Genomic DNA, 23,965 nt, shown 5'->3' on the forward strand with positions numbered 1-23,965 from the left:
AATCAGCAGGGACTAGCCTAAGACCTCATGGGCCCAGGCCTGTTGCCTCTCTGGTAGAAAGGGCTGAGTCCCAGCTCCAGGAAGGCCCTCCATCCCCCTTCACACCCTCTCCCCAACAACAACAACAACAACAAAAGTAGAGCTTAGTTCAAGTTTCCAAACAAGAATTTATTCTTTCTTTTTTAATCTTTTTTTCTAAAAAAAAGTACCAGGTACAATTTTTTCCTGTTTTTGATTTGCTTTGTTTTTTCAAGTTTCAGCAAATGCTTGTTCCCCTCAGCCCAGCCCCAGGAGTTAGGACTGAGGCTGGGTCAGAGTCTGGAGTGGGGAATGGGGTAGTTTGGAACCACATGACTGAGTTTGAGGGGTGCCCCTCACCCCAGCTGAGGTAGGTGGGTCAGAGTCTGGCCAGGTGAGAGGAGGCACCCCAGTGCTTGGCCCTGACTCTGCCCCCTGGACACCTTCTTCAGTCAGGACCCCAAAACAAGGAGACACAGGTAGGAGGAGAGGGACAACTGGAGTCTGGAGCCCTAGGTGAGGGGTGGTTAACCCCTGTGTGTGTGCATACATGCACACTCACACACACATACCACACAAAGACAAGCTTGTGCACACACACATACGCATAACTTGGCTTTCAGAGATAGGTCAGAGGGTAGGGGAAGTGAAGGGACTGGGGAAGGACAGGGGAAGCTGAGTCTTTGGCTACTGACTCAGTCCCTCTGGAATAGCCCCTCTTCCCTCAGCTGAGGGAAAGCAGTTCTCCTCCTGCCCCCACCGCATAAGCCTCTTCAACTCCTGAGGTTGGAGCAATATCTGAGAGTGGGAAGCGGGGAGGAGTGATGCCAATTATCAGGTGTGGGAGGTTACCAAGGCAATCCAATTTGAATAAATTATAAATTAAAAATAAATAAAATAACAAGTGGCCCCTGCCCAGGACAGGGAGGCAACGCTGGCATAACTTGCCTGGGAACTTGAGAAAATCTCAGGGTAGCTCCAGTTCCTCCCTACTACCTAAGCTGGCCTGGGAAACCCAAGGGAGGGGACAGGCACATGGAGTACCCGAAGTAGGGCAGGGTGTAGTAAGAATCAGAAGCTTTAAACACCCAAATAATCCATTTGGGCGTGAGCATGGTGAGGGCTTTAATTCAAGCCTGAAGGGTCTCTTGCTGTCTCTCCATATATGTTCTCTAAGATGGAGCAGGATGGGCAGGTCATTAGCCCGCATGGGTTCAGAGTGCTGGCAATCAGGGCAAAGGTGAATAACGTGGATTATGAGGGGCCTCGGTCACAGCCTGCAGTTCGTAGGGGAGCCCTGTGTCCAGCTCCAGGCTCCGGCGGGAAAAAAGCAGGCGGATATCTCCATGCAGGCTTAAGCGGCCTGAGCGGGAGCTCCGGAACCTGGAGGAGGACAATGTGATCAACGTAAGAATCCAGGCTGGGTTCAGTGGCTCATGCCTGTAATTCCAGTGCTTTGGGAGACCCAGGTGGGAGGACTGCTTGAGCCCAGGAGTTGGAGACCAGCCTAAGCAACATAGCGAGACCCCATCTCTAAAAATAAATGAATACATACATATATATGTACATACATACATAAAAATTTAAAAATAAACTAAGCAAGAATCCGGACAGTATCGAAGCAAGGAGAGATCCTCTTCAGGGAGGGGATACCTGGGCCTCCCCAGCCATCCCTGGGCCCTCTCCTCACCTGAGGTGCAGCAAGTAGCAGAGGAGGCGGTGGGTGGGGTTAGCATTTCCCTCCTCACCCACAGGCACCAAAAAGAGGCGATGGCGCAGGAAGGTCATGTGGGCAGCAGGCATGTCCGAGAAGTCAAAGGTCACAAGGAACATCTTTACCACAGTCTGGTTGGGGTTAAATAAGGTCTAGGGACAGGACAGTCAAGGTTGGTAGGGCCTGAGGGCTGCTTTCCTCTCTCCCCACTCCCACTCCCTCAGGGCAAACTCACCACTTGGACGGTGCCCACCTTGGGCACGCTGTAACCCTTCCTCCCCAAGGGGTTCAGATCCACGATGCCCTGGAAGGCCAGGGAGCCATCAGTCAAGGTGGGGACTAGGAAAACCCTGGGCCCTAAACACATGTCCCTCTCCACAAGCTCTCACCCTGAACCTGCCCCTGCCCTACAGTAGAGTTCTCCTCACCTGGCCCTGACTCACTTCTAGGTGAGGAATAAGTAAGAAATACCTCTTGCCCCCTGGCCCCGCCCCCAAATCCTCATCCTCTTGATGAGCTGACTTTGGGGTTGGAGTCAAGGCATACCAGGAAGGGAGCCGGGGCATTTTGCTCAGAAACATCAAAGAATGTGACAGTGACAGGCAGCGTGACGTGCTGGGGGCAGTATGACCCACTAGCTCCAATTTCTGCTGTGAAGCCCTCAATGTGGCCAGATGGTGCAAAACGTCCTCGCAGCAATGATTCCTGGGATTAGGGTAGGGAAAACACATGAAGAGAGAGATGCCAATTCTTTTCCTTATCCATCCAAGCCACATTCCACCATCCCACCTCTCCCAGGACCCCGGCAATCACAAACCCCAACGGGAGCTACCTCAAAGTTGCCCAGCAGGGTACGGCTGACAGCAGGGGTAGGAACAGGGGAGGCACTGGGGGGGCTCAGCAGGCCTGGCCCCTTCCGGAGGCTTCGAAGGGGGCTCCTGGTAGAGGAAGGGAAACACAGGGGGTTGGCTTGAGGTATTCTGGGATTCCTGCTTATGCCCTTGGACTCCACCCTCTGCCACTATGTAGGGCTTCTGCCCTGGGGTCCCCTACTCGGATGCTGGAAAGAGTACAGACTTCTGCCCCCATTCTCAGGGACAGGGTAGAGGAAAAAGCTGGTCACTTACAGCTTCAGGCGACGGGCTCCTTTCAGCCTCCGCCCCATGGGACCGCAGTCTGTTGGGTCCTACGGAGAGAAATGATTGGGAAAAGACACAGGGTGAAGGCCATGTATGTTTTGGGGCAGAAGCTCATCACAAACTCTCAAAGGAACACCCTGCCCCCCAGGCCTCCACCTTTACCCACACAAATATCCACTTAAGAGTACATGAAGGACAGGCGCAGTGGCTTGAGCGCCTGTAATCACAACACTTTAGAAGGCCAAGGTGGGTCGATGATTTGAGCTCAGGAGTTCGAGACCAGCTTGGGCAACATGGCGAAACCCCATTTCTACCAAAAATACCAAAAATTAGCTGGGTGCAATGTCATGTGCCTGTGGTCCCAGATACTTGGGAGGCTGAGGTTGGAGGATCCCTTGAGCCTGGGAGGAGGAGGTTGCAGTCAGCTGAGATTGTGCCACTGCACTCCAGCAGTGATGGAGTGAGATCCCATCTCAAAAAAAAAAAAAAAAAAAAAAAAGTAAAAAAAGAGTAAATGAGGTCCTTTATTGGCTTACCAAAACAGGCTCTTTGGGCCCAGGCAGCAGGTGGCTCCAGAAGGGTGTGGCTTTGGCATCAGAACTGTTGGCAGCAGTAGGGTGGCCCAGGGATCCCCGGCGCCTCCGAGGGGCTGGCCCCTCTTCCTCAGAGCTGACATCTGGGGCTTCTCCAGCAGGAAGCAGCCTTCGCTTGGTGGGGCAGGGGCCTGGGGGTCCAGGGCCAGGGGGTGTGTGCTCGGGACTGTGCCCATTGGCAGTGCCAGGGGACTCCCTAGGCCAGAGGCTACCCCCATTGCCCACCCCAGCCACTGGGCTCTTACCCCCTATTTGTGCAAGACTGTGCAAATCAGTGTCAAGTGTGTGCAGCTGGCCTGGAGGGGCTGGCCCTGGGGACTCCCCCAGGGACCCCTGTCCCCCTGGATCTGGGGAGGCCCAGTCTCTGGTGTGCAAAGTATTGCAGGAAGCATTTGATGGGGGGCAGGGGGGACTCCAGGCCCCCGAAGTCCAAGATGAGGTGACACTACTTCTCTGTTCCACAACACAGAGGCCACGGTGGGAGAAATGCTGGCTGGCCACACCTAGTCCCAGCCCCGGTCCCTCTGGGCCTAAGAGCCCCACAGTAGATGGTTCTTCAGGGGGTAGTCCCTCTCTGGCCCCCAGCCCAGGGCCTCTCTTCAGCTCCCGGGGACCCTCAGTGGATGGGGCTTGTCGTTTCAGGGCCCTATGAGGCTCAGAGGTACCAGCCGGAGGGGAAAAGATGGATACCTGGTAGACCCCGGGGGATGTCGCCCCCCCTGCTGGGCTGTAGCCCATGAGCAGGCCACCCTGGAGGGCCCCCTGCCTGACTGGAGGCTGTGAAGGGCCAGCCTCCGGCTCTGAGGATGGAGACGGCTCCGCCTGCACGTGGCGCATGAAGCCCCCCTTGGGTCAGGGGGGCCCCCCAACACGGCCTTTATGCTGGGCCTGGGCTGGGGGGCCTGGGGACATCTGTGTAAGAGAAGAGAAGAAAAGGTGGTCAGGGGAATCAATGAGTCTTCTTCCTTCCAGCTGAGTTTCAGACCCTCTCCTTGCCTAAAGGGGTGACTTTGATGGGTTCCCAAGGATGAATGTGTACAAATCCCTGGATGGACTAATGGAATATAGAGACCACTCTCAGAACTCCTGAGAGGGTGACAGGTTTAGCTCAGGCTTCTTACTGGACACACTTCCCCCTCTTCTCCCTGGTACTTACCCCGATGAAGAGGCCTCAAGCCTAGCTGTGCGTCCCCTCTTCCCAACTGATGCCTCGTGCCCCTAGCTTGCAGTCTGATCCATGCCTGCTGCACTGGCAAGGTGACTGCCACCATTCCGTGCAGCTCCTGAGCTCAGCAGGACCCTGAGGAGAGAAGAACAGACGTAAGCCAGGATCACTGGAGCCAGCGGTAAGGCCTGTCACCAATTATAGGCTAATAGTACACTCCAGGACATCCTTCTCCCATGTGAGAGGCTCTTCAGGAACAGAAAGGGTAGGCTTGGGGTCCAGGGCACAGATGGCAGAGTTGGGCTACCTAAGGAGTCAAAGAGGCAGGTCTTGGCTCAGTATAATAAGGATGTGACAAGTGAGTTGAGGTAGAATAACTACTTGTCAGGGCCACCATTTGAGGACTCCTGCCCTACATGGAGGAAGGGATGAGAGACCCCCAAGATCCAAGAGACCGTGTCAGCTGAGAGGCGGCCAGGGGAAGAATTCAGCTTTCTTACTCAAAGCCACCAAATTGCACAACTCCTTCTTATATGTCTATCTCCAAAGGGACAAGTGCCATCCTAGGGCACTAAGGGCAGAGGTCTCCCACACAGTTATACCCCATCAGCGGTCCTCAGAGGTACAAATTTCAAGTCAGCTCAGAGCTGGCCTTTCAGCCCTGAACTCCAAATTGCCTCCAGCAGCCTGTCTCTTTAACAAGAGGCAACAAATCCGACCAAAAACAAGAAGGGGAAGGGGAAGGGGTCACTGCCAGAAGGCACTTTCCAGGGCCCTCCCGCAAGGCCCTGCAAACTAGAGATAAGGCCGCAGCAGTCAGTCAGCTGGAAGCAACTAGGGAGTACCTCTCCACGCCCCTCCCCCAGTGCTCACACACCCAACACCAAAACCCCAAACCACGGGTGCATAAGATGGTCTTCACTAACTATTCCAGCCCATACTAGGGTGAGGGGAATGTCAAGTTGAAAGCCAGCTGCCCCCAGGGTCAGCCTTCTCTTTTGCTGTCTGACATTCACGGTGCTCTTTCCCCTTCAAGAAGTGCCCTTTGAATGCCTACCCAAGACTTTTCCTCCTTGGATAGGTCAAATGCCATCTCCTCCAGAAAGTCTGCTCTGTCCACCCCAGACCATAAGCATCTCTCCCTTCTCTGAGACCTCACCTATGGCAGTGTTACTACTTCCTGTAAGCTCACTAACAGTTCTGCTCACTCCTGTGGGTAAGGCATCTTCTAGACCGACCATAGAGTTCCTGAGGACAGATCTGTGTCCCACCCCTCCATCCAACCCCAAGTACAGGGGTAAGCACACAGCAGGGCTCAAAAAAAGTAGAATGCAAGTCCCAGACATCTGAGCAGCAGTCCTGAGAGTGGAGAGAAAAATTTCCCAGATGAGAGAAGCAGAGAGATTAATTGTACAAGGGAAAATCAGGAACAGAGGTGGGGGTGGGGAGCAGGCAGAAAGGAGAGATTTGTACCCAGGGACTGAAAAGCTCTCCTACACCAAGTTCCCATCATTGTACCCCACTATCCCATTTCACCAAATTCTCCTAAGAATTGGGATCCCTAAGAAAATCCTGGTTCCCTGTGGTGGGCGGGATGGCTGGAAAGGGCAGAACACCAATCGCAACCTGCACTATCCTACCTGCAACCAACCTTGTCAGAAGGTACAACCTGCACTAATTTCTACCCTTCTTTCCTCCACCCAAGCCATACAGATTCAGGAGGGGCCTTTTCCCTAGCACCACCACTTCCAGGTCATCCCAGTTGCCCTCTTGACCCCTTGCCCTGGGGAAGCCAGGGGATGACATGATGCCCTACTTGACCCCAGCATACCTGGCATCTGCTTATTAACCCCAGAGCCCTCTCAGTTCCCACCCTGTCAACAAGACGCTCTATATTCACTCCCCTGCCACCCAGCCAGTCTGGCTCTAGACCATGGCTTCAAGCTGACTCATGGGGCAGGACTGCAGGGGAGGGGGGCAGGGCAGAGTAGGCCAAGCCTCACTCTTCGTTCAGGGGGTGGGCAGCAGCTGGCATCAAACAGCTGTGCCAGGCTGTGGCTGGCAAGGACTACAGCTCCCAACATGCTGAGGGAGCAAGGCCAGCAAAAACAACAAGTCCCAGAATACGTCTGTACCTTTAGACACTTTTGAGGCCTGGGAGGTGGGTGAGGTGGGTATTGGTATAGGTATCAGCTTCAAGGCTCATTCTCCCCTTCCCTTCAGTATTAAAGATTTCCATTTCTACCATGATCAAGGAGAGTGACAGGATGAATTCCTATCCATGTGCTTTCCACCCTCATCCTATGCAAAGAGAACTGCTGCCAGCTGCTCTCTATTTTGTCCCTACATACATCCACACAAGCTAGGGGGGCTGTTCCCACGGACCACCACTGTGGGTAGGAAGGTCGACTTCTTCTCTCTTACCAACCCCTCGGCCCCCAGCCTAGAGCCCTCTATCTTCAGAGGGGAGAGAGCAGACCTTAGCAGACTCTCTAAACTAAGCCAGGCAGACTCACCTGACTCCTGGACTCCTTCTTCTGGACGATCCCTTACCCCCTGCCCAGCCTCCCAGGTCCCTTCTCACTCCTCTCCTCCCCACAGCCTGGGACAGGCCCCATACTATACTGGAGCTTCGGAGATTTGCTCTTTCCCTCTAGCACACTCACCCCGCTCCCAAATTGGCTCCGCGGAGGTGGCCGCTGCTCCGGGCCCTTCCGTCCCGTCCCGTCCCGGTCCCTCCCCTTGGTTCCCCGGTCCTCCCTGCCACGGGCCCCCAACCCAGACAAAGGGTGGCTCAGGCTGAGCCCTGCTCTGCTAGGCTCTTCGCTGTTCAGCTTCGTGTGCAACACTAGCGGGCCCTGGCGCCCGCAGCCCCCCAGCCGCTGCCGCGCCCCTCCCTGCGACGGTCCCTCCCCGGGGCCGCCCCGGCTCCGCGCCGCCGACTCCACTGCCCCTCTGACTCACAGGCCATTTCCTACCAGCTGATGGGGCCGCCCGCCCCGCCCAGTGCCCCACCACCCGCGCCGCGGCGGCCACGGCCGCCACGCCCCCCTCAGGCTACGCCCTCCCTGGAAAGCGACCATGCTCATTGGTCCATAGGAAGCCAGCCTCCCCGCGACCTCAAGTGCGAGGCACGCCCCCTCCAAGAGGCACACGCCTATTGGTCCATAAGGGGGTAGGCTTACCCAAGGTCGCTCCGCCCTTCTCCTTAACCCGACAGCTGCCGGAGTCCAAAGCAACACCCTGCCCTGCCATTTAACCCTTTCAAAGGCGTAGGCCTTCCACATCTTACCCCTCCGCCCTACTCCCCCGCCCTTCCTCCTTCCAGGACGGTTAATAGGAAGCCCGAGGGCTTTAAAGATACGGTTTGACAACCCTCAAAGTCTGCCTGCTGTCTATACCAGACCCCAGACCCCAAATACCTCACTCCCATTTGTCTTTCCCCACCTTCCAAACCAAAGCTTCAGAGCTGGAGAACTAGTGAAGCCCAGGAAGCTTCCTCCATGCCAGAGAAGAAAAAGGCCTGAGGTGGGACCCTATCTCCTTCCATGTTAAGAAGTGGTACTTTTCCCTCTGTTACTCTTAAATTGATGTTCTTTTGCCTTCTTTAGAGGAGCCCCACGGGTTCCTAAGATAGGGATACATTTTAATCTCAGGGACCAGCATTATTCTTTGTGCCTCTGAACTCCCTTTCTGAGATCAGCCTGCCAGCACTCTTTCTACTCACAGGCCCATGTTCAAGGAGACAGAGCATACAGGGAAGTGGGATAGGAGAGCTTCTGCCCAGAATGGGGGAAATGAGCCCAACTCTTGTGATGGAGCTCAACCCCATGACTCACAGCTCCCTCAAAACTATCCACCCTCCCACTGAGTCACTGGGCCCCAGCCCAGTTCAGACCCAGTCAAATCAAATGGCAGCAGAACCGGCATCCCTAACCCTTGTCCTCCTATTCTTTAAATGACCAGGATGGAAACCTTTGCAAGGATTGAGCATTCAAAGACACTTTCTAGAGGGTACTCTAGAGGTAAACTAAGAAAAGCAATAGTCCTGTCTACCCTGCCCTCTGCACTTGTCAGCAAGTCGGATAATTTGGGACTTAGGAGGCTTTTTCTCCCGGTCCTTCACAGAAGCAGGAGGCAAACACCAGAGCCAAAGAGGGAAAGTCCATTCTTCTACAGTTCAGAGGCCACAGAGAGCCCAAGGTCCTTGTTTCTGCCTTGCCTGTGCTGTGGACCCCCCAGGGCCCTGAGGTTATATCACTAGATAGTAAAAAGAGGCTCCTTCCTCTTCCCCCTAGTCCCTCAGTCCTAGACTTGGGAGACACAAGCAAGTAACAGTCCCTCTAAGCTCCCTTCTCCTTACCTCACCCTAGACCACCCTTTTCAAGAGGAAAACTCTGAATAAGAACCCAGTTCCCTTGGGCTGACTTCCTTGCCGGTTCCCTAGTGTAAGGAACAGGGTTAAGGAAATTTTCAATGCCCTTGTCAAAATTACAGTGTATCAATGTAAGAGCCTACTTGCCTTAATAAAAACTTACTAGGAAAACAGAGACGTAGAACACTGTAGGAAAAAAATAATCCCTTAGCAACCCCACCTTATTCTATCTTTCTGCCACTACCATAGGCCAGGCCTTGGTTACCTACAAAGGTCAGAGGACAATAGTTCAGGGTGAAGGATCAAAGATGTTCCAGGCCTCAGTGTACCCTGGGAAAGCAGCAGGGTACAACCAAGAGGACTTACCACCAGGTACGGTGGCTCACGCCTGTAATCCCAGCACTTTGGGAGGCCAAAGTGGGCGGATCACAAGCTCAGGAGTTCGAGACCAGCCTGACTAACATGGTGAAACCCCGTCTCTACTAAAAATACAAAAATTAGCTGAGTGTGGTGGCGCGCACCTGTAATCCCAGCTACTCAGGAGGCTGAGGCAGGAGAATCACTTGAACCCAGGAGGCGGAGGTTGTAGTGAGCCAAGATCGCACCACTGCACTCCAGCCTGGGTGACAGAGTGAGTGAGACTCCGTCTCAAAAATAAATAAATAAATAAATAAATAAATAAATAAATAAATAAATAAAGAGGCCTTACCTTCCTGCCCTAAATTTATCCTGCTTTATTTTTTTTTATATAGCGGTTATCACTACTTGACTTCTCCCTCCCCCTCCACAATTTCTTTCTCCCCTTAATAGAATGGAAGCTCCATGAGAGCAGCAACTTTGTTTCGTTCATGCTCATATTCCCAGAGCCAACATTAGTCCCTGGCAATGTTCAATAAACATTGACTGAAGAAAACAACAGGCCCTGGGCTGAGTGAACAGCAATCCGGCGATCTGGATCCTATCTTCTGCCCTTTCACTGTGACATCTGGGGAATCACAGTCTCTTTAGCCATAAATTTCCAAACCTGTAAAATGAGGTGTTTGTATAAACAATGACTGCTGAGGGCCTCTGCAGCTCTACAATTCTAATGACTGTTGTTCACTCATCTCCATATCAGAGGATAGCTCCAGGCATTCGAATGCTCTGCTGCCTGTACCAAAGCAGAAAGGCTATATCCTCCAGTCTCAGCACAGCAAACTGATGCCCTTTCTCTTCATGCCCCACCCACTCACACAAACCGCCCCAGTCCTGAGGAAGCTGGAGAGTCTGCCCTAGGCCCGCCCTCTCTGAGAGACTGTCTGGGAAGCAGTGTTGCCATAGCAATCAGCTCCTCCTCAAAAGGCTTCAGCCTGCCCTTTTTTACCCCACCCTACCCCAGGGCTTTGTCTGTCCTCAGCAGACCCACCCCCCTCCCCAGCCAGTCTCTCAGCTCCTGGGTGGTTGTGTGAGGAGGCTGGCTTGGGGCCCCTTTTAGCAACACTGTCACACTCATTTAGCCACTGTGTGGAACTCAAGCCTTTCCCACCCTCTCCCAGCCAGCCCAGGGGCAAAAAGAACTCTAGCACTCCATCAAATCCCCTCAGGGAAGCAGAGGAGCCCTCAAGAGAACTAGGTCCTAGCCTGTTCTGATAGTGCTTCCAAGCCTGGAGTGTGGGGAGCCACTCCCTCTTCCTCCCCTAGCTGTGGCTGGAACCTCACAACCCTTACTGGGTTCAGCTTACAGTCGTGGCCCACCTCTCAAAACAGACAGAAGACCCTCAATACTCCTCACCACTTCCCCCCTCCCACAGAAGCCCTAGCGTTCCCTACCCAGAAGGATAAGGGTGGGGAAAATCTGTTTGTGGCAAGTGGTTAAATGTGGCTACCAGTCACTTGGGGATCTATGCGAGAGACCTGGGTGGTAGTGGTGGGGGTGGGGTCTGAGCCCTGCCGCTGGTTACCAGGGTCTCTGGTCATTGATAACAAAGTACCGGGCAGGGCACAGCTCCTAGATGGGCAAGGGCCAGGCCAGGCCCTGGGGCAAGGAAGGAAGTGGGAAATGAGCACACCCAGAGCATAAGGGCAGGGCGGGGGAGGGGGGAGACAGAGACCAAGGCCGGCTCTGGGAGGAACAGGAACTAGGATGGGGGGTTGACAGGAACCCAGCGGGGGAAGGGTCCCCCGGGACCTCAGCTTAGGGAAGAAACCCCAGTCTCAGCTGGACAGATCCAAAATAGACTGAGGAGACATTCACACAAGCCCTAGTGACAAGCAGGGTCTGACTCCTCTCTGAGTGCCCAGGCCAGAAGGCGGAGTTAAAAGCTGAGCAGACAGGAGTGCAATAGATTGGCCTCTTCACCCCACTAACCCCAACACCCTTGCTCTTAGAACCCAGAACACAAGTGTCTTCCTGTAGTTACTACAATGCCCTAAACTGTTACTTTGTCAAAGTACTGGGGGTTCTGTTCTCCTGCCTCAAGTTGGGCCTACAACCCCTTCCCCTAGATAGTGCCCGCAGACCCTCCGACACCGCTACACTCCTTCTCCATTAAACAGCCCCCCTTCCTTCAAAGCACCTCCATGTCCCCTGCCCCTCATGTACCTCCTCCAACCCCCCACATCAGACAGAGACAGCCCCCTCACAATGTACCTCGCAACCCCCCCACAACAAAGCGCTCCCGCCCTTCCCCCATAGAGGCCTCTGGAGAATGCACCTTGTTGCCCACACATTGAGTCCCCAACTGCTCCCGCGACTTCGTATCTTCCCTCAACACACAGCAGTCTCCAGATCGTCTGCAAAGCGCACCCCCATCCGCGTCCCTTCTTCCACGCTCACCCTGCCCCACACCTGTAGTTCCGTGGGTCCCGTTGCACTTGGGGACGTGGTAGTGGTTGGGGCAGTTACTGAGCAGCCCTAGCTGTAGCCTCCGCCTGCAAACCTCGCCCCTTCAGTCTGAGCCCCGCCCCCGCAACGCCCGGGCCCACCCTCTCCCTTGTCCCACCTTCCACCTTCTGTGGACTTGTCCCTTTCCTCGTTTAATTTCTCGAGCTCCTCCCCTGTAGCCCGGGCCCCGCCCCCTTCTGACCTCGCACCTCCTTCGCGTTTTCTTTGCATTTCCCCAGGATCCTCAGCTTTTCCCAGGCCCCACCCCCGATCCCCGCCTCCTCTCGGTCTCTCCGCCTTTCACCAGGACCCGCCCCCTCGGATTCCAGCCTGGCAGAAGTCGCGCCAAGACCCTTCCACCACGATCCCCCTCCCATCTCAGAGCCCCTCCTCCTTCCGCCCCTTCTCCCTCACGCCTCACCCGGGCGGTCGCACTCCAACCAGGATCCGCTGGCTCTGATTGGCGGTGGCGGCCCCAAAGGAGGAAGGAGGAGACAAAGTGATGGTCGCAGGTCGCCTGAGGTCCCACCCCGGCCACGTGCGGCTTCTGTGATGACAAGTCTAGAGGGGCGGGGCCTCGGCCGGCAGGCTGCTAGCCTGAGCGGAGCGGATCAGGGCAGAGGTGGGGAGATGGAGCCAGGGCCAAAGCCACCAGCCTGAGGGCTCTGAGCCGGGTTGGGGCTATCTCGCTGCTTTCGCACCGGTGTGAGCTGCCGCCGGAACTCTAACCTCTTTGTAGGGATGTCTGGGTGGGCGCGTGCATTTGCACTAATAGGGGAGGTCCGTAGGGATTGCAAGGTAGTGCAAGGAATCTCAGGGGTCTGTGAAAATGAGGGAATCTGGGCGGTGGGGTTCAGGTCTGCGAGGTTGAGCAGTTTCTGAAGCCTACGCTGTGCAGGCGGGTGTGGGTTCTGGGATGGGATGGACAGTAGGAGTCAGATCAGTACCTACTGAGGCAGGTCAGCGAGATCTGTGAATTTTACGAGATGAGTGTTGATATGGAGTTAGGAGGGCCTGCAATTGCTGGAGAAAAGTGAGGCCTTTCCCTTGTACAGGTGTCTAATGAACTGCATGACAGTTACATATGTTCTGCAGTTTAAGCGGCGCCCTCTCCAACCTCTCCCCAGGAGATACAATAAGGGAGGGCGACGCTTCCCAGACACCGGTAGATGGCAGCACAGGACACTTGCAGAACTGAGACAGCCCAGCTCAGCGCCGATCTGTGGCCTCTCCGAGGAGCGGACCGTTTGGGTCTGGATTTGATCAAGTTCTACAAAAGTCACATTCTTTTTTATTTTTTTTTGAGACGGCGTCTCGCTCTTTCGCCCAAACTGGAGTGCAGTGGTGCGATCTCGGCTCACTGCAACCTCCGCCTACTGGGTTCAAGCAATTCTCCTGCCTCAGCCTTCAGAGTAGCTGGGATTACAAGCGCGCGCCACCAGGCCGGGCTAATTTTCGTATTTTTGGTAGAGACAGGTTTCACCATGTTGGCCAGGCTGGTCTCAAATTCCTGACCTCAAGCGATCCGCCCGCCTCGGCTGCCCAAAGTGTTGGGATTACTGGCGTGAGCCACAGCACCCGGCCAAATCTCAGATTCTTTAGGCTCTGTGACTTTGTCAGTAGTTAACTTAAACTGGTTTACTCAACGTCAGTGGTGTGGAAGCGCAAAAAAAAGAAAGAAAAAAGTATTTTCTCTGGCCATAAGGAACTTATTATTTAGACAGTGATACAAATGCCTACATAATCCCAGAAGGGTAAACTAAGAAAGGTTTTGGGTAGTGGGAAAACCACAGAGTTTGAAGTCATCTAAACTTCTTCAACTTCAACTTCAAACTTCAACTTATGGGTTCAACTTATGAGTTTGTCTCATACCTTTGAGTATTTACTAGCTGTATAGATTTAGGTAAATTATTTGACTTTAAAAAATTAATTTTAGAACAATTTTAGATTTACAGAAAACTTGTAAAAATAGTGCAGAGAGTTTTCATATATACCCTACACCTAGTTTCTCCTATTATTAACATCTTTCCTTATATGGTTCATTTATTACAATTAATAAGCCAATATTGATACATTAACAATAACTAAAACCCACACTTTATTCTGATTTTCTTTTTGTTTTTTTGAGACGGAGTTGTCGCTCTTTCACCCAGGCTGGAGTGCAGTGGCAAGATCTCGGCTCACTGTAACCTCCACCTTCTGGTTTCAAGAGATTCTCCTGCCTCAGCCTCCCGAGTAGCTGGGATTACAGGCATGTGCCACCACGCCTGGCTAATTTTGTATTTTTAGTAGAGATAGGGTTTCTCCATGTTGGTCAGGCTGGTCTCGAACTCCCGACCTCAGGTGATCCACCCGCCTCGGCCTCTCAAAGTGTTGGAATTACAGGTGTGAGCCACCGCGCCCGGCCTATTCTGATTTTCTTAGTTTTTGCCTTATGTCCTTTTTCTGTGCCAAAATCTAACCCAAGCTGGAACATTACATTTAGACATCATGTCTCCTTTGGCTCCTCTTGGCTGTGACAGTTTTTCAAACTTCCTTGTTTTTGATGACCTTAACAGTTTTTGTTTTGTTTTGAGACAGAGTCTTGCTCTTTCGCCCAGGCTGGAGTGCAGTGGCACGATCTTGGCTCACTGCAATCTCTGCCTCCTGGGTTCAAGCGATTCTCCCACCTCAGCCTCCTGAGTAGATGGGACTACAGGTGCATGCCACCACGCCGGGCTAATTTTTGTATTTGTAGTAGAGACAAGGTTTCACCATATTGCCCCGGATGGTCTTGATCTCCTGACGTTGTGACCCACCCGCCTCAGCCTCTCAAACTGTTGGGATTACAGGCATGAGCCACTGTGCCCGGCCGTTTTTTTTTTTTTTTTTTGGTTGTTGTTGTTTTATTTTGAGACAGAGTTTTGCTCTTGTTGCCCAGGCTGGAGTGCAATGGCGCAATCTTGGCTCACTGCAACCTCCGCCTCCTGGGTTCAAGCGATTCTCCTGCCTCAGCCTTCTGAGTACCTGGGATTACAGGCATGTGCCACCACGCCTGGCTAATTTTGTATTTTTTGTAGAGATGAGGGTTTCTCCATGTTGGTCATGGCTGATCTCGAACTCCCGACCTCAGGTGATCCACCCGCCTTGGCCTTCCAAAGTGCTGGGATTACAGGCGTGAGCCACCGCTCCTGGACTAGTTTTGTTTTTTAAGAGACAGGGTCTCATTCTGTCACCCAGGCTGAAGTACAGTGGTGCAATCATAGCCCTTGTAACTTTGAGCTCCTGGGCTCGAGGGATACTCCTGCCTCAGCCTCCAGAGTAGCTAGGACTACAAACACATGCTACCAAAAAAGAAAAAAAAATTTTAATTTTTTATTTTTTTTAATTTTTTATTATATTTTATTTTATTTGAGATGGAGTCTCGCTCTGTCACTGAGGCTGGAGTACAACGGTGTGATCTCAGCTCATTGCAACCTCTGCCTCCCAGGTTCAAGTGATTCTCCTGCCTCAGCCTCCTGAGTAGTGGGATTACAGGCATAAGCCATCACACCTGGCTAATTAATTTTTGTATATTTAGTAGAGACAGGGTTTTATCATATTGGCCAGACTGGTCTCAAACTCCTGTCCTCAAGTGATCCGCCTACCTTGGCCTCCCAAAGTGCTGGGATTATAGGCGTGAGCCACCAGCGCCTGGCCTTTAATCTTCTATTGTAGAGATAGGGCTTGCTAGGTTGCCCATACTGGTCTACAACTCCTGGCCTCAAGTTATCCTCCTGCCTCAGCTTCCCAAAGTGCTGGGATTACAAGTGTGAGCCAGAGCACCTGGCATCATATTGCAGTCTTTAAAAAAAAAAAAAAACAACAGTGGTAGCTAAGCAGTCTGAGTCTTTATTTTTCTACAAGATTTTTAGAACTTCTTTATGAAATACTTGAGGCATACAGGAAGCTCTAAAGAATATTATAACAAATACCCATATTCTGGCCAGGTGTGGTGCCTCACACCTGTAATCCCAACACTTTGGGAGGCTGAAGCAGGTGGATCACTTGTGGTCATGAGTTCGAGACCAGCCTGGCCAACATGGTGAAACCCCATCTCTACTAAAAAGACAAAAATTAGCTGGGTGTTGTGGCACATCCCTGTAGTCCCAGTTACTCGGGAGGCTGAGGTGCGAGAATTGGTTGAGCCTGGGAGGCAGAAATTGCTGTGAGCAGAGATTGCTCCACTGCACTCCAGCCTGGGTAACAGAGCGAGACCCTGTTTCCAAAAAAAAAAAACAAAAAAAAAACATTTTTATCACATAGCTTTACCAAATCTTAATATTTTACATTTACTTCAAGTTCTCTGTTAAAGAAATTAGTATTTCAAATAAAGTTGTAGCCCTCACATACTCCTCTCTAATCTCATTCCCTTCTCTTCCTCCCTCTTCACTTTTTGTTCCCAGAGTTGACCACTATCTCAAATTGGTATTTATTTTTCCTATTAAAAAAAACTAGGCCAGGCACAGTGGCTCATGCCTATAATCCCAGCACTTTGGGAGGCCGAGGCAGGTGGATCACCTGAGGTCAGGAGTTCTAGACCAGCCTGGCCAACATGGTGAAACCCCGTCTCTACTAAAATAAATACAAAAATTAGCCTGGCGTGGTAGCAGGCACCTGTAATCCCAGCTACTGGGCATAGTGGGGGCCGAGGCAGGAGAATCGCTTGAACCCGGGAGGCGGAGGTTGCAGTAAGCCGAGATCACGTCAGCGCACTCCAGCCTGGTGGACAAGAGCGAGACTTCGTCTCAAAACAAAAACAAACAAACAACAACAACTGTGATTGATGTACATGTATTTCTACTGGGTATATACCTAGGAATCGAATTGCTGAGCTACTAGTCATGTGTATGTTTAGCTTCAGTAGATATTGCCAATATGTTTTCCAAAGAGATTGTTACTGTCAGGCCTGAGCCCAAGCTAAGCCATCATATCCCCTGTGACCTGCAAGTATACATCCAGATCACCTGAAGCAACTGAAGATCCACAAAACAAGCGAAAATAGCCTTAACTGATGACATTCCACCATTGTGATTTGTTTCTGCCCCACCCTAACTGATCAATGTACTTCGTAATCTCCCCCACCCTTAAGAAGGTTCTTTGTAATTCTCCCCACCCTTGAGAATGTATTTTGTGAAATCCACCCTCTGCCCACAAAACATTGCTCCTAACTCCACCACCTATCGCAAAACCTATAAGAACTAATGATAATCCCACCACCCTTTGCTGACTCCTTTTTTGGACTCAGCCTGCCTGCACCCAGGTGAAATAAACAGCCTTGTTGCTCACACAAAGCCTGTTTGGTGGTCTTTTCACACGGATGTGTGAGACACTTAGATTTTGAATTACTTATTTTCACATATTGTAACTAAAATGTCAGTTGGCGTTACCCTTTCTTTTTGAGATTAAATAAAATTGCATGTAATGTTTTACCTCACATTAAATGGGAAGTCCAGTGTCATCATAGATCCTTTTGTGAATTCTAGGATTGAGAAGGAGCTTGATTCCTCTTGACTGTTGACCATTTTTGCTGGCCCTTGCTGAATTTACAATTCACTGGTTTCACCCCTGCAGCTGTTCTTTCTCTCTTTCTTTTTGATTTTTTGAGTCAGGGTCTTGCTCTGTTACCTAGGCTGGAGTGCAGTGGCACAATCATGGCTTACCACAGCCTTGAATTCCTGGGCTCAAGTGATCCTCCACCACCACCTCCCAACTAGGTGGGATAACAGACATGTACCACCATGCCCTGCTAAGTTTTTCTGTTCTTTTGTAAAAATGAGGTCTCACTATATTGGCCAAGCTGGTCTTGAACTCCTGGCCTCAAATGATCCTCTTGCCTCTGCCTCCCTAAATGCTGAGATGACAGGTGTGAGCCACTGCACCTGGCCCCTTTCTTTTTTTCTCTCTCTAGCCTAGAAATATAATTATTTCTTTATTTCCTGCCCTCCCCAAATTTCTTATGGAAGGCATCTGTATGAGTAGCAGGCATTACCGAATATTTGGGGGTAATATAAGGAAAAAATATACCTATATAAACAAGTCAAAATTGAATATTTGGACATCAATGTTCTTTAAATATGTGTGTGTATATATATTTTATTTATATATATATTTTATATATATATAAAATAGATATAAAAAATATGGCTTTTTTTTGAGACAGAATCACGCTCTGTTGCCTAGGTTGGAATGCAGTGGTGTGATTCCAGCTCACTGCAACCCCCACCTTCTGGGTTCAAGTGATTCTCCTGCCTCAGGCTCCTGAGTATCTGGGATTACAGGTGCCTACCACCACACCCAGCTAATTTTTTGTATTTTTAGTAGAGATGGGGGTTTCGCCATGTTGGCCAGGCTGGTCTCGAACTCCTGGCCTCAAGTATTCCACCCACCTAGACCTCTCAAAGTGCTAGGATTACAGGCATGAGCCACTGCACCCGGCCATTCTTTAAATATATTTTATTTGTTTGTTTGTTTTCCGAGATAGAGTCTTGCTCTGTCACCCAGGCTGGAGTGCAGTGGCACGATCTAGGCTCACTGCAACCTCTGCCTCCTGGGTTCAAGCAATTCTCCTGCCTCGGCCTCCCAAGTAGCTGGGATTACAGGTGCCCGCCACCACGCCCAGCTAATTTTTGTATTTTTAGTAGAGACGGGGTTTCACCATGTTGGCCAGATTGGTCTCGAACTCCTGACCTCATGATCCGCCTGCCTTGGCCTCCCAAAGTGCTAGGATTATAGGCATGAGCCACGGTGCCCAGCCTCTTTAAATATTTTTAAAAGTCCTTCAGCCATTCCATAATATAACTTTCCAAGAGGTTCTCTTTGTCCGCTGCCTAGACAGAGCAGATTTCTCAAAACAGGGGAACTGCAATAGAGAAAGAGTAATTCACACAGAGCCAGCTGTGTGGGAGACTGGAGTTTTATTATTACTCAAATCAGCCTCCCCAAATATTCTGGGAGCAGAGTTTTAAGGACAACTTGATGGGCAGGGGGAAGCCAGTGAGCTGGGTGTGCTGACTGGTCAGGGATGAAATCACAGGGAGTCAAAGCTGTCCTCTTGCACTGAGTCCGTTCCTGGGTGGAGCCACAAGATCAGATGAGCCAGTTTATCCATCTGGGTGGTGCCAGCTGATCCATCAAGTGCAGGGTCTGCAAAATATCTCAAGCACTGATCTTAGGAGCAGTTTAGGGAGGGTCAGAATCTTTTAATCTCCAGCTGCATGACTCCTAAACCATGATTTCTGATCTTGTGGCTAATGTTAGTCCTACAAAGGCAATCTAGTACCCAGGCAAGAAGGAGGTCTGCTTTGGGAAAGGGCTGTTACCATCTTTGTTTTAAACTATAAACTAAGTTTCTCTCAAAGTTAGTTCAGCCTACACCCAGGAATGAACAAGCAGAGCTTGGAGGTTAGAAGCAAGATGGAGTTGATTAAGTTCGATCTCTTTCAATGTGTGTCATAATTTTGCAAAGGTGGTTTTAATATTTTTTACCCCTTTTCTTATTATTCTCACCCACGTCTCTCTATTCCCAGTACTTAATCACACCAAGTAATTTCTCCACACACATTTCTTCTAGGAGTTATATTTGCATATCAAAAAGGGTCACTTTTGCTGGGCAGGGTGGTTGACAACTGTAATCCCAGCACTTTGGGAGGCTGAACTGGGAGGGTCATCTGAGCCCAGGAGTTTGAGACCAGCTTGGGCAATATAGTGAGACCTCATCTCTATAAAAAATTAAAAAAATTAGCTGCATGGTTGCACGCACCTGTAGTCCCCTCTACTTGGGAGGCTGTATTTCAAATGGAGCAGAATTATAAATATGTGTCACTAAGGAGAGGCCTCAATTTTGCCTCAGGAGAGGCTGTAAAAGGCATAAGAACACTTGATACCTGCCCTGTTGCACCCTCTCATGATTTGGAATTACAGGCCACTAGCCTACAGGTATCAGGCTGCAAAGTACAAGCATACCCTTTGTATCTGTTTATTCCAAACCCCAGTGAACACCAGTTTAGCGCCCAGAATGGTTTGAGCAATTAAAGAATCCCGTCTTAATATTTGTTGGTAAACTAGCCCCAAATACATTATTGATTTTTTTTTTTTTTTGAGACGGAGTCTTGCTCTGTCACCCAAGCTGGGGTGCAGTGGTGCAATCTCGGCTCACTGCAAACTCCGCCTCCTGGGTTCACGCCATTCTCCTGCCTCAGCCTCCAGAGTAGCTGGGACTACAGGCACCTGCCACCGCGCCCAGCTAATTTTTTTGTATTTTTTTTAGTAGAGACGGGGTTTCACCATGGTCTTGATCTCCTGACCTCATGATCCGCCCGCCTCGGCCTCCCAAAGTGCTGGGATTACAGGCGTGAGCCACCGCGCCTGGACTACATTATTGATTGTAGCAGCCAAAAAAGTGTGTCCAAGGAAAATAAGCTTGCTTAAGACAATTTGCCTTTTGGTGATAACAGTTGCTTGTAGAGCTGAGGACATTGGGAGTGTAAGGATAAATAAAAGTTATTTTCTCCATTTATAAAGGGCAAATAAACCATTTCCTCTCTCTCCTTTCATTTTTTTCTCCTTTTCTTTCTTCCTTTCTTTTTCTTTTTTTTTTTTTTGAGTCAGGGTCCTGCTCTGTCACCCAGACTGGAGTGCAGTGGCACAATCATGGTTCACTGCAGCAGACTCAACCTCCCAGGCTCAAGGGATCCACTTGGCTCGGCTTCCTGAATAGCTGGGATGATAGCCCTGTGCCACTAAGCCCAGCTAATTAAAAATATATATATTTATTTTTTGGCTGGGTGCAGTGGCTTGTGCCCGTAATCCCAGCACTTTGGGAGGCCAAGGCAGGTGGATCACTTGAAATCAGGGGGTTGAGACCAGCCTGGCCAACATGGTGAAACCCCATCTCTACTAAAAATACAAAAATTAGCTGGGCATGATGGTGCGTGCCTGTAATCCCAGCTACTTGGGAGGCTGAAGCAGGGGAATCACTTGAACCCAGGAGGCGGAGGTTGCCTTGAGCTGCGATCGCACCATCGCACTCCAGCCTGGGCGACAGACCAAGACTTGGTCTCAAAAAAAAAAAAAAAAAAAATTTGTAGAGATGGGGTCTCACCATGTTGCCCAGGGCTGGTCTCAAACTCCTGGGATCAGCCTCCCAAAGTGTTGGGATTACAGGCCTGAGCCACTGCACCCAGACTCCTCTCTTAGAGTTCTTAGAGTTACTCCTTGGATACAAAATAAATTTGGGTCCTTACTCTAATATTTGGAATCTCTCTAGGGATTAAGCCTAGACTCCAGTTTTTACAATACGGATGTAACTCCAAGGTTGTGTGCCAAATGACCTCTAGATATGTAAACAAGGGTCTCTTGCTGGACGCACAGGAGATTTTTCAGGAGGCACAGTCCTTTGTCCCTTGAGGAGATATTGTTCTTTCTTCTGCTTTGCTGTATAAGTTATGTGCAATTTTGTCTTAACCTTGTAGTCATTTTCAGGCTACCTTACATGCATGTAATCTGTTATTGCTTACTCAATAAGAAATTACATTCTCTCACTCATCTATATTGACAGGGAGGAATCTTTTTGCGGCAGGATTATTTCATTTCCCCAAGAGCAATGCAATAGTCTGTTAAAAGAGAAGGCACCTGTAATCCCAGCACTTTGGGAGGCTGAGACGGGTGGATCACTTGAGGTCAGGAGTGCAAGACCAGCCTGGCCAACATGGTGAAACCACGTCTCTACTAAAAATACAAAAATTAGCCGGGCATGGTGGTGGTCACCTGTAATCCCAGCTACTCAGGAGCCTGAGGCAGGAGAATCACTTGAACCCGGGAGGTGGAAGTTGCAGTGAGCTGAGATCCTGCGATTGCACTCCAGCTTGGGTGATAGAGTGAGTGACACTCCATCTCAAAAAAAAAAAAAAAAAAAAAGCAATGATCTGAAGTGGATTTCCTTGCTCTTGATGAATGTGTGTTACCAGTACTGTTCAGCTGTTTTTTATTCAACAATTCAATGATGAATATGAAGTAAGTAAATTAGCCTCTATGAATAGTCTGCATGAAACAATTACAGGTGAAAATATTTTCAAAGAAGTTGAGAAAACACTAGTTCAGTACAACCAGAAGTGGAAATCTATTAAATTGTGTTACAACTGATGGTGGCAAAACATATGCAGAGCAGAAAAAAGTTTTAGTTCAAAAAATTTGCAAGGCTTCTTAAATTGTAATGTGTTTAATATTGTGAAAGGAAAATATCTTGGGCCCCCAAAATCACTAAGCTAAAGGAAAAATTCTAGCTGGGAACTGCACAGGGCAAATCTGCCTCCCATTCTATTCAAAATCATCCCTTTGCTCACTGAGATACACACATATTCTGTTTGCCTCCTTTGGAAAGTTTCATCAGAAACTCAAAAGAATGCAACCATTTTTCTCTCCACCTACATGTGACCTGGAAGCCCTCTCCCTGCTTCGAGTTATCCCCACCTTTCTAGACAGAACCAATGTACTTCTTTTGTATATTGATTGATGTCTCACATCTCCTTAAAATGTATAAAACTAAGCTGTGTTCTGACCACCTTGGGCATATGTCGTCAGGACTTCCTGAGGCTCTGTCATGGGAACATGTCCTTAACTTTGGCAAATAAACCTCCTAAAATGAGTGGGACTTGTCTCACCATTATTCTCGATTGACATCTGGTAGCCACAGAGGGATCCTGAGTGAAGGTGACCCGGCCTGTAGCAGCTTGCCTATTGGTGCTTGGTACTGGCTTGGGCACCTTATAGCCCAAACTGATAGGACGATTGCTGAAGTCTGGGACTTCTTTCCTCCAGGGATCCCTGATCTTCCAACGTTTTTCAGTTGGGGGCCTGAGATTTAATTGCCATTAATAAAACTCCTTTTTTGTGGGGAGTTTCCACTCACTTCCATCAAGAAAGGTGAGCCTGCCTGTTTCTCCATTGGCAAAGAGCAGTTTTCAGCTTGGGCCCCATCACTAGGTAAGATAACTGATTTGGGATTCTGTCTTGCAAATTCTTTTTAAACAACTAAAGTTAGCAATAACAACCAGTTGGTGTTAATTTCTGCTTACACTTACAGCGCTCAGAAATCATATAATTTTTGTGATCATTGTTAGTTTTGCCTGTTTTGTTGTCTGTTTATGTCTTTGTGTGTGTGTGTGTGTGTGTGTGTGTGTGTCCTTTCCCTTATTGAATTGGACTAACTCCAAACCTTCTAACTCATGAGTGTGGAATCTTCCATGCTGAAGAAATAAGAGCACCTTGCTCCCTTCAGCCTTTCAGGGCATTCTCAGGCAACTGAGAACCATGTGAGGGTGTCTGGGAGGAATACTCCCTAAGATGTGCAGCAGCTCTAAATAGGTTTCCCCTTAAGAAGAACATGCTTAGGGTCTAATCTCAGCTGGCAGGTGCATATAAGGAGCTGACCCCTCCTGCACCTTGAGCCCCTGACACACTGTGCCAGGTTGCCATGACACGGTTGGACTGATCCGGTTCAGGGGGTAAGAGCCCTGAAAAGCTAGGCCTGCAAGCAGCACATTTTGGGTCTGACACACGTCTTGACTTGGTCAAATCCAAAGGGGAACTCTAAATTATGGGGAACAAGGCCTCTGAAGTGGGAAGAAAAGAGCCAACAAAAGGAAAAAAAAAAAAAGAGGAAAGATTTTTAATGTTGACTACTAAAGAGGCTTTATTTACATAACGAGGCAACCTTTTTTGCCAGCCAGACCAAACTGAAAGAGTAATGGCTGTACTTCTGAAATAGCAGCATTTTGTCCTAGCTGAACTATGGTAATAAAATTAAAAAAAAAAATTTTAAGGACCTCAGTGGTTAAAAGTCAGCTTAATTAAAAGGCTAACATCCAAGATGTGTGTGCGTTGTTTGTATTTAAAAGGCCTTTACGTTTTTGTTTCTTTGTTTTGTTTGTTTGCTTCTTATTTGTTTTTCTCTCCTAGGACCTTGTCATTTTTTTTTTGAGCAAAAGTTTTTTTTTCTTTCTTTCTTCTCAGTTGACCGAATTCTGTTTTCACCTGATTTTTTTTTTTTTTACTGAAATAGTTGCAACAGAGTTTTTTCC

General features: G+C 49.8%; 1 protein-coding gene across 22 annotated transcripts, besides 6 other annotated features; it reads right to left on the reverse strand.

Moving 5' to 3' along the window:
* Positions 1–143: 143 nt before the first annotated feature.
* On the reverse strand, positions 144–12,407 carry ATOSB (atos homolog B). 22 transcript variants are annotated; one of them, NR_134455.2, is made up of 10 exons: positions 11,698–11,889; positions 4,621–4,764; positions 4,155–4,376; positions 3,408–3,595; positions 2,860–2,918; positions 2,565–2,670; positions 2,279–2,437; positions 1,968–2,036; positions 1,709–1,884; positions 144–1,401 (listed from the first exon to the last, which is right to left on the reverse strand). NR_134455.2 is itself a non-coding variant. In XM_047423916.1 (10 exons), the coding sequence occupies exons 3-10, from the start codon at positions 4,299–4,301 to the stop codon at positions 1,248–1,250; spliced, it is 1,503 nt and encodes a 500-aa protein (XP_047279872.1). In that variant the 5' UTR covers positions 4,302–4,376; positions 4,621–4,764; positions 12,077–12,129; the 3' UTR covers positions 144–1,247. The 22 variants fall into 22 exon arrangements, 21 of the variants coding, with proteins under 21 accessions (XP_047279872.1, XP_047279873.1, XP_047279870.1 ...); XM_047423916.1 differs by lacking the exon at positions 11,698–11,889 and adding an exon at positions 12,077–12,129 and having other exon boundaries at positions 3,710–4,376; XM_047423917.1 differs by lacking the exon at positions 11,698–11,889 and adding an exon at positions 11,986–12,034 and having other exon boundaries at positions 3,710–4,376.
* Positions 5,354–5,498: an enhancer, noted in NCBI's record as "145 bp enhancer 90 fragment used in the MPRA reporter construct; PK_construct_4059". NCBI's record gives its function as "activates an SV40 promoter by MPRA in K562 cells {active_cell/tissue: K562}" and the evidence as "EXISTENCE:reporter gene assay evidence [ECO:0000049][PMID:23512712]".
* Positions 5,418–5,435: a transcriptional cis regulatory region, noted in NCBI's record as "GATA motif; enhancer activity is reduced when this motif is scrambled". NCBI's record gives its function as "necessary for full MPRA enhancer 90 activity {active_cell/tissue: K562}" and the evidence as "EXISTENCE:site-directed mutagenesis evidence [ECO:0005528][PMID:23512712]".
* Positions 7,380–7,589: a silencer, noted in NCBI's record as "silent region_19860". NCBI's record gives its function as "represses an Ori minimal core promoter by ATAC-STARR-seq in GM12878 lymphoblastoid cells {active_cell/tissue: GM12878}" and the evidence as "EXISTENCE:reporter gene assay evidence [ECO:0000049][PMID:35858748]".
* Positions 7,650–7,919: a silencer, noted in NCBI's record as "silent region_19861". NCBI's record gives its function as "represses an Ori minimal core promoter by ATAC-STARR-seq in GM12878 lymphoblastoid cells {active_cell/tissue: GM12878}" and the evidence as "EXISTENCE:reporter gene assay evidence [ECO:0000049][PMID:35858748]".
* Positions 9,871–10,700: an enhancer, noted in NCBI's record as "NANOG-H3K27ac-H3K4me1 hESC enhancer chr9:35113841-35114670 (GRCh37/hg19 assembly coordinates)". NCBI's record gives its function as "activates a minimal SCP1, AML or CMV promoter by ChIP-STARR-seq in naive H9 embryonic stem cells {active_cell/tissue: H9 hESC(naive)}" and the evidence as "EXISTENCE:reporter gene assay evidence [ECO:0000049][PMID:30033119]".
* Positions 12,034–12,093: a silencer, noted in NCBI's record as "silent region_19862". NCBI's record gives its function as "represses an Ori minimal core promoter by ATAC-STARR-seq in GM12878 lymphoblastoid cells {active_cell/tissue: GM12878}" and the evidence as "EXISTENCE:reporter gene assay evidence [ECO:0000049][PMID:35858748]".
* Positions 12,408–23,965: the final 11,558 nt, after the last annotated feature.

This window comes from Homo sapiens, chromosome 9 (genome assembly GCF_000001405.40).
Source record: "Homo sapiens chromosome 9, GRCh38.p14 Primary Assembly".
Classification (NCBI taxonomy): domain Eukaryota; kingdom Metazoa; phylum Chordata; class Mammalia; order Primates; family Hominidae; genus Homo; species Homo sapiens.